Below are 18,877 nucleotides of genomic sequence, written 5' to 3' on the forward strand. Positions count from 1 at the left end.
ACATTTGGTTCATGTAGAGAATGGAATACTATTCAGTCATAAAAAAGAATGAAATCTGTTCATTTGCAGCAACATGGTTGATCCTGGAGGACCTTATGTGAAATGAAATGTCAGGCCTAGAAAGATAAATACTGTTATCCCTCATATGTAAGAGCTAAAAACAAGTTGCAATCATAGCCCTCATATGTAAGAGCTAAAAACAAGTTGCAATCATAGAAGTGGAGAGAAGAATTGTGGTTACCAGAGGTTGGGAAGGGCAGCTGGGGGAGAAATAGAGAAAGATTGGTTAGAAAATACAAAGCTACAGGTAGATAGGAGGAATAAGTTCTAGCATTTGATAGCACTGTAGAATGACTGTAGTTTGACATAATTAATTTTCTTTTATATTTTCAAAAAGATAGATTTTGAAAGTTCCCTAAACCAAGAAATGATAAACATTTGAGGTGACGGATATGCTAATTACCCTGATTTGATCATTATACCTTATATACATGTATCAAAGTACCATTCAGTATCCCATAAATACCTACAATCATTACATGTCAAGTAAAAAGGAAAAAAAAAAGAGAGATTACCAGATGTGAAGAAAAAAAGAGGGAGAAAGTTATTCATGCTCTGCCAGTGTTCAAAGGCCACAGGCAAAGAGTGTTCTTTGGGCCAGGAGCTAATCACTAGTTTCAGTGAAGACACTATATGTTTGTTAAAGACAACCAACCACTAACAGCCAGGGCAGCTCACAGGCAGAGTAGGAACCTCAAAAACTCTACATCTGCTCAACAGAAGTTCAGATCCTATTTCTCTCATGCTTCTCCAGCTTTACATATGTTTCTCCAAAGCTGTTCCACAGAGCTACCCTCAACATTTGAGAACAAATGTATATCTTCATGAACCTGACAGTTTAATCCAAAGAAACCCATCTCAAGATCAATGTTTCTTATCATCTTGTGTTTCAACTTAAAAGTAGATTCAAATTTGGCCCTTTATCCTATAACTCCACCACTACCACCAATAAAGAGCCATGTCCATTTTCTAAATCAGAATTTTGTAGCATCTGACATTCTGCCTGAATGCAATAAATATTTATTTAATTACTAAATTATACATCCGAGTTGACTTTAATGGAAAGAGGTATATCTTCCTATATTTTCAAGTAAAATCAGTGCACCAGGAATACCCTTCATGATTACTCTGTTGCGTCAAGTATCAAAGGCACATATCACAGTTTAGAAACATGGTGGTATAATGGTCTCATAACTGATTCTTTACCACGATAGCTCCCAGAAATATTTTTAAATACAGGCAATAGTGGAGAATCATTATGCCAAACATAGTTCTTGGGCCACAGAAAATATAATTTAATCTTGATCTTTGTTTCCTTACTGAGTTAGCTATGCACTAGAGAAATAGCCATTTAAACAGTCAAAATCAAACTTTTTACTACACAAGTAGTTAGTGCCTCTCTTCCTTCAGCAGATTGTTTCAGCAATTTCTTTGTCCAGATTCTGTGAAGAAGAAAGTGGAAGCAATCATCCTCATCATTTAGGTAAAAATTGACTGAGTTGGGAAATGACACAATTATATGGATAACCTGGTTGGAGAAGGAGCCAGAAAAGAAAAGTAAAAAACCATCCTATCTTTATGATTCTACTTGGAAGTCACAAGGATTTACTACTTTATTCATGAAAAGTCACAATAACGACCGCTAATTTGAGCAATTACCATGGGCCTAGCACTAGGTAGGCAAACCTCACTTCCATTCTATAAGCTAAGTTTTTAATAATTCCTGTGACATTGGTGAAGAAACTAACAAAAGATAAATAATTACATTCCTCTCCACCCCCACCACCAACTTAGTGGCACTGCGGATATGGTAGAATTTTTCCTGCTGCCTTCCAGGAGCAAGGAGCATAGAGAACATTATGGAGTGGAGATAAATAGGCAGGTAATTAGAATATGTCTGCTTCACAAATACAGTGAGGGTTAGACATTATTTTGAAGGACAGTAGGAAAAACCTAGAATATTGATATTGGTCAAGAAAAATTTCTACATATCATTAGGACTTTGGTAAAATCTAAACTTTTTTCTTATATAAAATTCATAATATTAGAGTGCCTTGGAGGCATAATAAAAATTTAAACTACCCATAGTCTATTTCTTCTCTTTCCCTGCTCCTAAACTAATTCCACCTCCAACTTTCCTATGTATTGCACTGGTGCCTCTGACTTAAAGCCTTGCTTGGAGTTAGTCTTGAATTCATCACTCACTGTCTCTCTGTTCCCTTCCATTCTTATACAAATATTCAATCATTTACGATACACTCAGCAATGACTGGCCTCCATCTCTTCCTTTCTGCCTCTTTTCTCCTTTAGATTAGTTATTGTATTAGTAATGTTATTGTATCGATAGTTATTAGTTATTATATCAATCATTAATTATTGTATCAATCTTCTAATTGGCCTCTCCCACCTGAACCATTTTACACATACATATCATGTTAATCTTTCCAGAATACATCTCCAATTACAGCTTTACCACACACACAAACCTCCCATGACTCACTGATGTTGTCACTCTGTCATTTAAAGTCTTCACAAAGCTTGCCCATCTTCACTGATTCCTTATATTCCAACCAAACTCTACCACTTACAGCCCCGGCACACCCCTGCTCTAACCACTTCAGTGTCCTTACTTTGTCTCATCCAACTGCCTAAGTAATCCTTTTCTATTTTTCCTTTCTGAAGAATTCTGTCCTGTTTCAACACTCTTCCCAGATATCTCATTTTATGTGTCACCTAACTCTGGGTCTAGCAGTGTCTGCCACACATACTAGGTATTAAATTGGTGCTAAAACCCTTTCTTCCTGTAACTGCAGTAGTAGCACCACCTTTGATATGGCTTTTGCAGTGTTTCCCCCACTTAGCATAGGCTCCGGTTACAGCAGCAGAATCCTCACCAAATAAAGACAGCCTAGAGGCAGCAGTCTTAGTGGCTGCTACTCCTTCCTTCTCTTCTCCCAAGTGCAAACATAGATTACCCAGAGGACAAAGGAGAAAAAGCCAGCAGGCTCAAATGAAGCAAGCCTACACCTCAGCTCCCACTGCCCCATAGCAACTTTCATGGAAAACTTGGTAGTGTTCCATCCATAACTCTTTAGAATGAGAGCAGAGATTCAAGTGAAGATAACTATCCAGCTTAAGAGTAATGAGCTGTGCTTCTGGAGAGATATCAGTGAGGACACTTGTAGATGTGAGCCCAACAGGATCCTGAGACAGACAAATTGTTTTTGAAGCAATGAACTTTGTTCTAAATCATACTACAGTTAACATGAGTCAAGCAATAGAAACTAGAGAGCAGTTTTCCCCAAAGATGACAGTTTGTGGGAATACTCACTTGTACAAAACAAAAAGATACTCACTTGTACAAAACAAAAGCATAATTAAGATGTATATCTCTATTATTATGTATCTTATAATTTTGGAATACCAACTCATACACATGCCTTTAATACTTAATATTCAAAATTTCTATTGAGGATGTGAATACAGATGAACTTCCTTAGGAAATGCTATAAAAGGTTAAAGTCAGAAAAACAAAAAAAACTTGATGTTGTTCCTGGAATAGCAGATCACAGAGACCAATCTGGGAACCAGATCCTGAGGGCATTTAATACGCTTAGATAAGCACTAGCGATTACAGTAGTTTGGTCACGTAATAACAATTTTTTATTCTATTACAAATGTAAACCATTTAAACAGTGCATTTCCTTCTCTAATGATTCATTTGGGGAAACAGATATCGGTCTTAAGCCTGAGAAAGTACAGTTCATCAGATCTTGATGAAAAGAAAGTAGTGAAAATCAACAGGTTTATATTCTTGGTTCTATCAGCCACAAACCTCAGAAATCATTTGTTTCTTGAAACAAAGAGTATTAAGACTTGGGTTAATGTATTCTTTTCACAAATATTTACTGAGTGCCCACCATGTGACTCACATGTGGTAGAAGAAAATAGCATGAAGCAACTTAGACATACCTCTTGTCTTTCTAGAGCCTTAAGTCTAACAAGGAAGAAAACCATTAAATAAATAATACCAAAGACTTTTAAAATTAAAATCATGGTAAGTACTAAAAAAGGAAAGTACAGAATGGGATGAGATTGTATTATTGCAAGACTAGATCTAATCAGAGAAGTTTCCCTATAGAAATGACATTGGAGCTGCAGCTTGGAGGATGAGAAGGAGTAAGCCAGGTGAAGGCTAAGACAGTTTTGGGAAGATACTCATGTTCTAAACCAAAAGAGCATATGCAAAGGCCCTGCAGAGGAAGGAGGTACCTTTGAGGAACCAATAGAAGGCTTGTAGTTGAAATATAGTTAGTGCAAGGAAAAGTGAGGTGATACGAGACAGAACAGTCAGGGCCTTGGTCATAATAAAGATCTTGGATTTTATTCTAAGATCAGTGGAAAGCCAGCCAACAGGTGAACATTTAAATTGTTTACTTTTTTTCCTATTTTGCATAAGCCTATATAGAGATCTTTTATACTCATCTGCTTCTTTGTGTTATTTTTTGACACATGACTACGAATAGACTTACTAATTAAATGGTAGAAATGTCTTTATTTCTCATACTATATGTTAATATAAAGTTTTTTTAGAAGCAAAAGCAATACAAGCAACTGCATATCATTTACCTACCTGTAATCTTTAGCATTATGATTTTCCTCTTGTACCTTTTGCTGATTTACTAAGTACATGAATCAGTACAATACTCTCTCAGAGACCTCAAAAGTCTTCTTACTGTAGATGAAGGTTTATGTTTCTGATGAACAGCTGGGTTTCCTCCATGTGACTTGATGTGACTCTCCTCCATGTGACTCCCCTAGCTGGTGGGTCTGCTATCCCCTAAGACAGTCATTCCCAAGCTTTGCAATTAGAATTACTTGGGAGGTTTTAAGTTTTTTGATATCAAGATTACACCCCATATGAATTAAATCAGAATGTCTGGGGCATGGTAGTAAGGCATTCAGAGAATGATTGGGAAAAGAGAGTGTGAAAAAGGCACAGTCTCCCTAAATGCCTTGTCTCAGAAGGGACACATATTCTGTTGGTTAGAGCTAAGTACACAGTCATGCATATCTGCAAATGGGGCTGGAAAATATAATCTAGCTGTATGCTCAAAAGACAAGGGAACAGCTACAGGCCTTTAGAAAGTATTTAAGAAAGTATTAAAAGACCTTATGTCTTTAAGAAAGTATTAAAAGACCTTATGTGTTGCTATAAATTTTGTCCCGTTTTTTAATGACTGTTAAATGTGACTTTTCAATGTTTTTCAAATATTTGAAATTATTTTAAATATTTTTGTTTTGTCTGGGCTTAGCATCTAGAAGATCAGAAGTGAACGTAGAATTTTATATTAGCTTATACAAAGTTGATGCTCAAAAATGTTGGGTGATGATCTTCTGAGATGTGAAGCCATGTATTTAATATCGAGGATGAATTTTGAAGTGGGGACCATCAATTTTGATAGACAACCAGATCTCATGGCATTTACTTCTGTGTAAGCAGTGCATGGGTGCCACTAGGTTTTCAAAAATTTATTTGAAATAAGCTATCAAAATAGAAGTTTTGACTGAGACTAACAGATACCATATATCAAACTGAGGCAGAACACCCTGCAGGACTTGCAAAAATAATGTGGCTAAAACCAATTAGATAATTCTTAAAATGTCCTTGCCCACAAGGGCAAAGAAGGAGTCAAGGATTAGCATGCAGAAGATGATTTTTGAAGGGGACTTTTGAAGAAGCGTCTTTAAATAGAACTCTCCCAAAAAGGAAGAGTCAGGGAAGTTTCCTCCTAACCCCATGTTGTTAGAGAAGGGACTTAAGGAGATCAGTTTGTGGGCTTAATACATGTCTCCCGCAGTTTGAAAGACAAAGTGGACAATATGGCATCATGCCTGATAAATTTAAAGGGGGAGAGGCAAGATCAGGAGGTGAAGTTTGGGAAGTGCTATAACTTCACTCCCATCCTTTGTGCTTGTTCCACTGTGTGTGTGACTGCTCTGAAGTCTGCCACCCACCCAGAAGCGAGGAGAGGGCTGCCTGGTAAGTGTCTGGTATCTCTGAGATCTACTGTCTTAAGGTCTCAAGAAAGACTTTTGTTTTCACATTCCATTACATGTTTTTTCAGTCTGCTTCATTTGCTGAAGCCTCTGAAAACTCCGAAAGCAACAGTTCAGCCTTTTGGGTATTTTTACAAAAGGTTAAAATAAATTAAAGTGGAAGCCCTTGGCAAACTGTAAAACACCATAAAATTATAAGACATTATTATTTTGTGCTTATTTATCATACATACTTGTTGCACTGAAAAAATCCCTTCTCAAAACATAATATAGGCATATGTGACCATATTTTAACCAGACTCCATTTGTTTGGAGCTTTCTTATATTTAGTCTCTAGTCAAGATGTCATGGGCTTAAACTTGGCAAGGAAAGTAAAAAGCATTAAAAAAAAACATTAAGTTCACTTAAAACATTTTCCACAATTTTCTTTCTCTTTCCATCTCTCCCTCAATTTTTTGTTTCCCTGAAAAAAAACACCAGGGAAAATATTTCAAGTCATTATTTTAAAAGACAAAGAGGAAGTTAAGTGGAGTAAGATCTCTCTTACTCCATTTAAGAAAACAGCAAATAGTACAATGGACATAACCCATGTCTGAAAATTGACATATTAATTATAAAGGTGAGGATCTGATACCTGTCCTCATTAGGAAACAAAAGCAATAACAACAAAACCTAGTCAAAGGATGGGAAAATATACAAAACTTTTTTTCCAACTGTGTTAGTCTCTTTTTATTCTTTTGCAACTCCCTTCCAGAGTTAAGTATTGCTGTTTGTAGGTGACGAAATGCATAAGGACCCACTTCAAATACTGGTACTACTTTCAGCATGGTCTTTCCCTTTGCTTTAACTCAGAATTAAGACTTTTGATTTATATTCCAGACCCAGAAGTAGTTTTCACTGTAGAAGTTATCTGAAAACAGTCTATGTTTTGTACTAGTGGTCTATAACCAAACTCTTAAGATTCTCTCAGAACATTGCAGGATGATTTACTTTAAATATGTATTAAACTATGAATGCTTCTTAGTTTAATACAAATTTAATGCATTTAAATTCATTTAAATGCATTTTATTTTTGGACTTGCAAAAATAATGTGGCTAAAACCATTTAGATAATTCTTAAAATCAAAAGTTTTAATTCTGAGTTGAAGTAAAGGGAGAGACCATGCTCAAAGTAGTACCAGCATTTGAAGTGGGCCCTTATGCATTGCTTTCTTTCTTTTTTTTTTTTTTTGTATTTGTTGTAGAGTGCAGAATCAATACCCCAAAAGACAGAGAGTTGGCAGGGAACAGTGGCTCATTCCTGTAATCCCAGCACTCTGGGAGGCTGAAGCTGGTGGATGACTTGAGGTCAGAAGTTCAAGACCAGCCTGGCCAACATAGTGAAACCACATCTCTACTAAAAATACAAAAATTAGCAGGGCGTGGTGGTGGGTGCCTATAATCCCAGCTACTCAGGAGACTGAGGCAAGAGAATTGCCTGAACCCAGGAGACAGAGGTTGCAGCGACCTGAGATCGTGCCACTGCACTCCAGCCTGGGCGACAGAGCCATCCTTTGTGCTTGTTCCACTCTGTGTGTGACTGCTCCGAAGTCTCCCACCCACCCAGAAGTGGGGAGAGGACTGCCTGGTAGGTGCCTGGTATCACTGAGCTCTACTGAAAGACTTTTGTTTTCACATTCCATTACATGTTTTTTCAGTCTTCTTCATTGTTAGATTCTCTAGAAAGCAAATGTCAACATGAGTTAACAATGCAAACAGTTTATTGGAGAAGTAATATCTTAAAAAGAAACTGTAGAAAGTAGAATTTGGAGCTTTCAAACCATGACATGAACATGACGAGGTTTCTGCCAGCGCAACAGGGAGCTCCAGAGCAGTGTGTCCAAAGTTAAGCCCTTGTTCATACCACCTTGTAACACTACTTTGCTCAGTCGTTGGCCGCAGGGGCATACTGTGAAGAACTTGACCTCTAATTAATAGCTAAGGCCGATCCTAAGAGAGCCAATTGTGGGAGATTGTCAGCTACTATATTCCTCATAGCTGGGTAGAAAGCCCTCTTGAAGGAAGATCTGAGCAGTACATCTTAGTGTCTGTCACAGACACACAGAGCTTGGATGACTCAAAAAAAGAAAAAGAGAAATAATTCTTCTGATTCTAAATATGTAACCCTCATTCCCTGAGGCGCAGTACTTCAAATTTAAGAACAAAGTTATAAAAACAACTAGTTAAGAAAAAAAGATCTGTAATCCTACTTACTCCTCAAGCAATATAACCCCCAGAAGTTCTTCTCGAGTAAATTTATGAATATCCAGTGGGTGTCTCACAAGAGTTCTAATAACATGCTGTTGACTACCATCGGGGATTCTACCAATTTTCCTATCTCCTAATCTAGATCACTGGATAATGTGTCTAATTGCTCCTAAGTTAAGAGTGGTAGCTATGCCAAACCATTGGCAGTTTCACTTCCCAGACACTACTCCTGAGGATGCTACATAGCCCAAGACTGAGGGTTCTGACTTCTATTCAGGGGTTCTGATGTTTTATATCCAGAGAATACAAGGCACTGAAATCAGCATTTTATCATTTTATCAATAACACAACTCATCAACATTGCTAACATTCTGTCCCTGTGTCATCAATGTCATCACTTCTAAGAGGACTCAATGTCTCATGAAGGTTATAGAACAACAGCTTTTTGAGATTTTACTTACTTTTTTGTTGCAGCTTTCTTGCTCTCAGATTGAGAATGGCTGGTCTAATTGATAGGGGCATACTGTGAAGAACTTGACCTCTAATTAATAGCTAAGGCCGATCCTAAGAGAGCCAATTGTGGGAGATTGTCAGCTACTATATTCCTCATAGCTGGGTAGAAAGCCCTCTTGAAGGAAGATCTGAGCAGTACATCTTAGTGTCTGTCACAGACACACAGAGCTTGGATGACTCAAAAAAAGAAAAAGAGAAATAATTCTTCTGATTCTAAATATGTAACCCTCATTCCCTGAGGCGCAGTACTTCAAATTTAAGAACAAAGTTATAAAAACAACTAGTTAAGAAAAAAAGATCTGTAATCCTACTTACTCCTCAAGCAATATAACCCCCAGAAGTTCTTCTCGAGTAAATTTATGAATATCCAGTGGGTGTCTCACAAGAGTTCTAATAACATGCTGTTGACTACCATCGGGGATTCTACCAATTTTCCTATCTCCTAATCTAGATCACTGGATAATGTGTCTAATTGCTCCTAAGTTAAGAGTGGTAGCTATGCCAAACCATTGGCAGTTTCACTTCCCAGACACTACTCCTGAGGATGCTACATAGCCCAAGACTGAGGGTTCTGACTTCTATTCAGGGGTTCTGATGTTTTATATCCAGAGAATACAAGGCACTGAAATCAGCATTTTATCATTTTATCAATAACACAACTCATCAACATTGCTAACATTCTGTCCCTGTGTCATCAATGTCATCACTTCTAAGAGGACTCAATGTCTCATGAAGGTTATAGAACAACAGCTTTTTGAGATTTTACTTACTTTTTTGTTGCAGCTTTCTTGCTCTCAGATTGAGAATGGCTGGTCTAATTGATAATCTAGTGACAGTAACGTATTGGACTTCTCCAAGTTTCTGTATTTCCACTTTCTCCTTTTTTTATAGAATGAGTTCTTTCTTAGTGGAAAAACAGATTGTTGTGTTGGCCCTCTAGTATTTCAGATTTATGCAGATATTCTTATACCCTAGGATGGTCATGGCTTCACGTAAGGGCAAGCTGAGATACCTGCTACCTTTGCCTAAGAGTTTTCTCTGATTTCTAAGGAATGGGAAATTAATATCAGAAATTAACTGAATAGCTGATACTTTTTATATACCATAATCATAACTATCTCTATAAGACACTGACTACAATTATCACTAGCAGTGTAAATAGAGTTATTCTCAACAAATCCTTTTCCTGTCTTTATAAAGCGTTAAAGAACTCTTCCTTGCAGGATGGTGGGCCGCACGTGGCCATTATTGCTATAAGTCTGTTTCCCAACTGGGCAGAATCAACATGCAACACTCCTTATAAATAGTCTTGAGGCTTCTCTCTGATTTTGTTATGTGTTACACTAATACCACCCTAGAATATTTTCAGTCCAGCAAGTTACCTTTAAGAAAGTCAAAATCATGCTTTGTGTTTTGGAACTATAGCTTGAAGAGGTCAGTATTGGTCCTGCAGCTTTGCATTTGAATGATTTGTTAAAAGTTTTTCTTGCAGGAAGCCTACTTTCTTCTCACATGGCTTTATATGGGCTGTTACCAGGTAGGACAATGGTAATTTTCACTAACAATTAGAAGGGGCAAAATTGTGTCAGTACTTTTAGGATAGCAGTACAGAAAAAAAAAATCAGAATTCAAGACATTATTCTACTTTTCAGTCATTCATTCTGCAAATAGGAATTTCCAATTTCTTTGGAATAAAATGAAAACCAAGGAAAGCTGTGTTTCGGTTGTTCAGTTATTCTAGAAATCATATATTATTTTCCAGGAAAAAAGAGTGTAAAAGAGAGACTTCCCTTGCCAATTCCTCTCATGCTACCAAAATAAAATACATTTGTAGACCACAGAGCATACAAATATGTTCACCTCATCCTCTGGCTATAGTGGTGATATGTTCTTCCTGTTTATCTTTCTTGAGGATATCAACTTTTCTCCACTTCCATTCTCAGAACTCTTTAATCTCACAGTGTTCTCTACACCCTCTCTCCAGTGTTCCTCCATCACTGATCTCAACATCAGGGCCATTTAGGGTTCACTCAAGACTGCCAGGGTCCAAACCAAGACTAAAAGGATAAGAATCTTACTTCCAGTTTGAATTTGAACACACTCCCACAAAACAACAACAACAACAACAACAACAACAACAACAAACCGTTTGAAAGAGAGACAAGATAAAAGATCCAAAGTTGAAGGACTAAGTAAGCAGAAAACCAAAATAACAGTAAGAAGAGCCCTTTCACAGACATAGTCCAAAGTTTGTAAGCAGAATAGTGTGCAAACATGTACAGTCATAGATTCATAGTTTCCTGAGCTTTTTCTAATGTAGAAAGCATGAAAAAAGGAGCTCATTTTTTTGGAGTTAAAGGCATTTCACACTCTTTGGTTACAGTGACTATCACTGAATGTAGCAAAACCATAGGAGCTTCAATGATTTCATTATATAAATGCTAGGCAAATTGAGCTAAGGACCATATGCAGTTAAGGGTTTGCACTTAATTCAAGAAACAATGGATACCACACATATTTATTGAGCTCCCACCGTGACAAAACTGAGCATAACTGAAACATTTGGTTAAGAGCATTCAAGACAAAAAAACTAACGTAAGCAAAAGTAAAGAATCTGTAGTAGAATCAAAATAGCAATAGATTCAGTTTGACCAGAGTTCAGGGAGGATCTGAAGAGTAAAAAAAAAAAAAAAGAAAGGAAATAGGTTAGATTGCAATCAAGGAAAACTTTAGTTGACAGATTAAAGAATTCATTATTTCATGAGGAAATAGGAAAAAAATTGAAGATTTCTAGACAGGAAAAATACATAATTAAAACTGTTTTTTAGATAGATTAAGTTGACTGTGACCTGCAGATTGGATGCTGGAATAGAGACCTACTCGAGGTAGAGACATCTCACAGCTATGAGATTGTTGCTTCATTTTCATGGACCAGAGTAATGACAATAAGGGTAGAGATAAGAGACTAAAGGGGAGAACTCATTAAAGTAAAATAACATGATTTGGGAAATAATAGTTGATGTCATTGAAGCTCCATTGGTTTTGCTATAGTCACTGATACATACTGTAATCAAGAAGTGTCTGCATACCATTAACATCAAAATAATGAGATCTTTTTTTTCACCCTCTCTACATCAGAATCTCATGTTTTATTGGAACGTGAGATATCAGAGAAAAGGAATAAAAGGTATTTCAGGTTTTAGACCAAAATTTCTGAAATGGGGCTATTACTACAACAATGTAGTTTCTGAAAAATGTAAGCACTCCATGAGACTGTTTAAAATAACATTGATGACTAAGGAGTTTATGAGAAAGTGAACATATTTAGCAATAAATGTGTACAGCAAAGTATCAAGACATTTTTACTTTCAACTCATTTTATAACTAGTGACTGAGAAATAATAATGATCACTGAGTTCTTATTCTGTACAAGAAATTATGCCACTATTACAAATATGTGCCTGGCACCATTCTTTCACATATCTATACTCAAATTTTTGTGGTCTCACATATGGACTATTAACAAAATAATGTTTGTTTCTTCAAGGAAGATATTTTCTTAGACAGTCATTTGTTTGACAAATCTTTATCAAAGGTTTACAATTTACGTGGTCCAAGTTATGGAGAGCAAAACACATAGTACCTACCCTCAAGGCGCTTATATTCTTATAATGAACAGGCAAACGTTTATTAGGACTCTGGATTTCAGTAACGCGGAAAAATCATTCACACTATGAACTCCTAGAAAATCTGGATTTACAGAAGATGTTGATGCATAGCTGAGCTCCCTCAAAAGAAAAAGAAATAGCGAGATATCAGAATCAAAGGGTTGTAAGTATAGAGTTTATACTATGATAGCCCTAGGGGGTGATACAGAGGGAGGAGGAGGGATAATTAAATTAGCTAATACCTGGGTTGGATTTTAACCCTTGCATAGGACAGGGGATTAGGGTTTGGAACTGAAACTTTGCTTAATGGCCTTTCCCAGAAGAGCTGTATCCTCAATATAAAGAGAAGCTAGGAAGGAAAAAAATGGCTTAGCAGCCCAGGGACCTAACCTTCAAGCTTGCCTTGGCTTCTGCTTGGCTTCATTTGTTTGGTGAAAACAAATCGTAAATAAGAAATCAGCTCCTTTGGCCTGCACTTTTCACAGGTTAAGAATAGAAACCTACATGGTATCCGAGAATCCCCAAGCTGAGAAAACAAACATCAATGTTGATTCTTAGCCAGTTACATTCTTCAGTGCCTGGCAGAATCGAATGCAAAATTGCCCATGGGAGTCATTGTCGTGGATAATGTCAATGTCCAATGCTTCACCCAGATCCCCTGGGCCCATTTTTACTATTTTGGTGGGGGGGCTGGGCAGGGGACTCCCTTTATGGTGTGTTTTCCCATCCAACAGCCAGCATCTACTGAGTCTCCTTTTGCAGAGGACTGCCCTCCAAGACACATCCCCCACCCTAAGTTTTTCAGCAGCTCTCTTGCCTCTGTTTTCATAACTCTAAGGCATAACTTACCAGAGTCCCCTGCAGGTTAAGCCTGAGATCACTTTCTGTGGGATTTTGCCTGAGCTCATACCCTTGCTTGGCTTCCTCCACTTCTCTGTTCAGTCTTCCCCCACTCTCTTGCCAATTTCCTCTAGAGAACCTCCTTAATAGAAACTATCTCTGAATCCTCATCTCACATGTCTGCTTCAAAGGACCAGGACCCAACACATTGCTGTGGGATTCCCGCAGGAAAATAAACAAGCACCTCTAAAGATAAACTCAAGAAAATAATTGCAATATGTACAAGGGAAAAAATTCATCTAAGACAGTCTGCAGAAACAATAAGATGTATTAATGCAACAAAGAACTTCATGTAGTAGAAAAATAACTTGACAAAATGTATAAATTATCCAGGATACAGATGGAGAGAACCAAAAATGGAAAGTTTGACAGAGAGTTTAATATATACAGGGATATAATGATAAGGTTTGACATAGATCTAACAGTAGTTCCTAAGAAGAGAGAAGAAAGAAATGGAAAGGGACTCTCTGAGGCAATATGTATAAGGAGTTTACAGAAATTATGAAATACAAGTAAACATACAATTCCTAAGTAGAGTAAATAAAAATTAAATCCACATGAAAGAAAGGTTGCACAACTCAAAAGTAGAGAAAACATCTTGAAAGCAACCGGAGAGAAAAGACAGATAACCTGTAAAGAAACAAGAATTAAACTGCTAGGAATATATTATCAATAGTAACAACAGATACCAGAAGATGGCAAGATAATGTCTTCAAAGGGAAAAATAACTGTCAACATAAAGTAAATTAACTAAAATATTACTCAGGAAGGAGGATAAAATAAAGACATTTTTAGATGATAACTGTGAGATTTCATAATATAATAAATTTTCACTGAAGAAAGAAATTGACCTCAGAAGGAAGAAGTGAGAGGCAAGAAACAAGGTGGAATAAGCCAACAATGGGTAACGTATGTGGGCTCAACTAAATTAGCATCAACTCTAAAAAAAATAACAATCCCCATAACAAAAATGGTTAATTTGGAAACATGGGTGCTTAAAAGCAAGATTAAATTTAGAAGCAATGACATGTGAGTAGAATGCAGAGATGAGAGCTAATGCATTCTACCAATTAGATATTGTCTGAGAGGAGAGTAAAGATACCACTTATCTTTATCCTCTGCACATAATATATGAACATTACAGATTTATCAACTTGAAGCATAATGACTTAAGCTATTCTTACTTCTGGAAAAGAGGCCTCGTCCTAGATCCCAAGGGCAGGTTCTTGGATTTTGTGCAGGAAAGAATTCAGGGTGAGTCACAGTGTACAATAAAGTTAAAATAGCTTGTTAGAAACTACTCCAATACAGAGTAGAGTGTCCTCAGAAAGCAAGAGGAGGAATGCCCCTACCTCAAATGTAACTCTTGCTTATATCGGATATTACAGATAAGAACAGTGTACTTTATTATAAACGCTTGTGATTAGCTTGTGACAGACTGTTAGTATTGTTTTCTCTTTTGTAATTATTAATTTCAGGAAGAATTTATGAGTGTACTATTATCTTTAGAGCCAAAGTTATTTTTTATTTATTTATTTTTTGAGACGGAGTCTAGCTCTGTCGCCCAGGCTGGAGTGCAGTGGCGCGATCTCGGCTCACTGCAAGGCATGAACCTCCTGGGTTGATGCCATTCTCCTGCCTCAGCCTCCCGAGTAGCTGGGACTACAGGCACCCACCACCACGCCCGGCTAATTTTTTATATTTTTAGTAGAGACAGGGTTTCACCATGTTAGCCACGATGGTCTCGATCTCCTGACCTCGTGATCCACCCACCTTGGCCTCCCGAAGTGCTGGGATTACAGGCATGAGCCACTGCTCCAGGCCGAGCAAAACTTATTTTAAACTGAGAGTGCCTTTTTCCATTAACTCGTTTCTTCAACCAGAAGCATCTTGTGATCAAGACTGCCTAACTTTCTGGGAATGTAACCCAGCAGGTATTGCTTTCTCCAGCCTTTATTCAAGATGGGGTCACTCTGGTTTAGACGTCTCTGACATTCTCACCGTGCAATTACAATAAAAGGAGATTTTGAAAAATCATCATTTATCCAATAGGAAGAGAGAAGAAAGGACACAAAGTAAAATACAGGAAGTAGAAAAACAGAATGATATGTGTGGGCCCGCTAATCAGGTGATAGTGGCAGCGACAAAATAGACAATTGGGTGGGAGGAAGCATTGTTATTTGTAAACAGGGTTGTTACACCATGATAAAAGGAGCTATTCATTAGAAAAATACGTTAATTCTAAATCTGTATATGCACCTGACAATATATAAATTACAATAATATGAAAAGCAAAAACTGACACAATTACCAGGAGAAAGTGACAAGTCTACAATCATGATTATAAACTCTAGAACAGTTCCTTCAGTAATTGATAGAACAGATAAAAAATGAGTCAAGAGGTGATTTGAACAACAGTTCACATACTTGATTTCTATATTGCACATAAAGAAACATTATTTGAAGTACAGAAAGGATATATACAGTCATACTCCACATAACAACATTTTGGTCAATGACAGATTGCATATTTGAAGATGGTTTCATAAGATTAGAATACAGCTGAAAAATTACTATCACCTAGTGACACCTTGTGACATTGAAGCCATTGTAACATCATAACACAAGGCATTACTGACCTGTTTGTGGTGATACTGGTGTAAACCTACTGCACTGCCAGTCCTATAAAAGTATAGCACATACAATTATGTACAGTACATAATAGTTGATAGTGATAATAAATGACTTGCTGGTTTATATATTTACTATACTTTTTATAGTTACTTCAAAGTGTACTTCTTCTTATTAAAAAAAAAAGCTAATTGTAAAATATCCTTAGGCAATTCCTTCAGAACTTCCTTCTTATTCCAGAAGCAGGCATTGTTATCATAGAAGATGACATGGGTGTTATTGCTCCTAAAGACCTTCCAATGGGTCTTCCAGTGGGGCACGATGTGGAGGTGGCAGACAGTTATATTGATGCTCCTGATGCTGTGTAGGCCTAGGCTAATGTGTGTGTTTTTGTCTTAGTTTTTAGCCAAAAAGTTTTAAAAGTAAAATAAATTTTAAAATAGGAAAAGCTTTTAAAGGTATAAAGAAAGAAAATAGTTTTGTATAGCTATACAATGTATTTTAAGTATCATTGCAAAAGAGTCAAAAAGTTAAAAAAAGATTGAAAAGTTTGTAAAAGTAAAAAAGTCAGCTAAGATTAATTTACTATTGAAGAAACAATTTAAAAAATAAATTTAGTACAGCCTAAATGTACAGTGTTTATAAAGTCTGCGGTAGTATACAATAATGTCCTAGGCTTTCACATTCACTCATCACTCATTCACTGACTCACCCAGAGCAAATCCAGTCCTGCAAGCTCCATTCATGATAAGTGCCCTAAATAGGTCTACCGGTTTTTATGTTTTATACTGTATTTTTAGTGTACTTTTTCTATTTTAGATATGTTTACATACATTAGTACTTACCATTGTGTTACAATTACCTACAGTATTCAGTATAATAATATGCTGTGCAGATTTGTAGCCTAGGAGAAATAGACTATAGCATATAGCTTAGGTGTGTAAGACGCTACACTATCTAGGTTTGTGGAAGATCACTCTACGATGTTCACACAATTAGAAAATCAGCTACGGATGAATTTCTCAGAATGCATCTCTATTGTTAAGTAAAGCATGACTGTATAAAAGTTGACTTCATATTAGGCTACAAAGCAAATCTCAACAAGTGCCACAGAATTTATATATCTTGCAGAAGCACATTTTCTTACCATAACAAAATTAAAAATTAAACCAAGGTAATTAAGAGTCCATATACTTGGAGATTTAAAAGTACACTTTTAAAACTTTAATTGTCAAAGAAATCTTTTTTTTTTTTTTTCCCTAGAGTCTGGATCTCACTCTGTCACCCAGCCTGGAGTGCACTGGTGTGATCATAGTTCACTGCCACTTTGAACTCCTGGGCTCAAGTGATCCTCCTGCTTCAGTCCCCCAAGTAGCTAGGACTACAGGCATACCACCACACCTGGCTAACTTTTAAGGTTTTTTTTTTTTGTAGAGACATGGTCTTTCTATGTTTCTCAGGCTGGTCTCAAACTCCTGGACTCAAGTGATCCTCCCACCTTGACCTCTCAAAGTGCTGAGATTACCGGTGTGAGCCACCGCGCCCAACCTCAAAGAAGAAATCTTAATTATGATAAAAACATACTTCATGTTTTACAAAAACACTGCACATCAAAACACAGAATAAAGTTGAAGCAATCCTTAGATGAATTTTATAGTGTATGTTCACATATTACAGATGAGGAAATATTAAAAATGGGTTATCTAAACATCAAAATCAGGAGTGAAAAAATTGTAAACCCAACGAAAGCGGCTTACAAAAAAAAATAAAGAGCAAATAATAATAACAAAGTGAAAAAAACACACTCAATAGGGTAGATCAAGAAATTATAGCACAACATGATAACTTGTGAGGAGAGTATGTTCAAGTTTCCTCCTGTGCGCAGCGGCTTCCTAGAGTCCTTCGTGCCGAGTCCTGTCTCCCTGTCTAACCCCACTTCCTTCTACTCTTCCTCTCTCTCTCCTCTTCTCTTTCTTTTCCTCAAACATGCCAACCTCCTTCCACCTATTTAAGACCTTTGCACTTGCTCTTTTCTCTGCCTGGAGCACTCTGCTCTGTTTTTGCATTCATCACAAACTTCTTTGTTGCATTCACATTTGCATTAAAAAAGTGTTTACTGAAAATCAGTGATGTTCCTGACAGTAGAGATACAGCAGTGAACAGAATAAACAAAAATATCTGTAATTATGGAATGTATGTTCTAGTAGCTGGCAAATTTTCACTCAGTAAGGTCTTCCCTGACCACCAATATAAATGCCAATGTTACTTATTTTCCTGTTTTCCTATTTATTACGTTTCTTTGCACTAGTGTGCCACATCTTTGAGAGAAGAGACCTTGTCTATCTTGTTTGTCACCTTTACTCTGAGGGCATGGAATGATACCTAAAACAATTATGTGTTCAAGAGCTATTAGGTAAAAGAATGAATGCATGAATAGGGGATTCATGGAAGGTGTCTCCTCAATTATATTTGAGGAAAACATTTGCCTGAAGCAAAGGGGTGTGTGTGTGTGTGTGTGTGTGTGTGTGTGTCACCAAGCAGAACAAAGATTCTGTGTAAACTCAAGAGAATGGATACTGTGGCATTAGAATGAGAGGTTAGATGGGCAGGCAGGGACCAGATGCAAATAGTCTGGTTGCTATGCAAAAAGAGTGGACATTTCATCTTACAAATAACAGTGCGCATGATGGCCATTTGTTTCAACACAAGATGGGAAATTTAAATCTCCTTTGGGGATTTAATTTTAAAAGTAAAGAATGTTTCTATTTGGTTTGAAAACAACAACTCTTTGGTTGTAA

At 36.9% G+C, this 18,877-nt stretch overlaps 1 annotated feature.

The window, feature by feature from the left end:
• Window positions 616–785: an enhancer, noted in NCBI's record as "experimental_26510 CRE fragment used in MPRA reporter constructs". NCBI's record gives its function as "activates a minimal promoter by MPRAs in K562 erythroleukemia cells, with activity observed for the non-introgressed 12:22122207 variant allele {active_cell/tissue: K562}" and the evidence as "EXISTENCE:reporter gene assay evidence [ECO:0000049][PMID:34662402]".

The sequence above is a fragment of the Homo sapiens genome, chromosome 12 (assembly GCF_000001405.40).
Source record: "Homo sapiens chromosome 12, GRCh38.p14 Primary Assembly".
NCBI classification, from domain to species: Eukaryota; Metazoa; Chordata; class Mammalia; order Primates; family Hominidae; genus Homo; species Homo sapiens.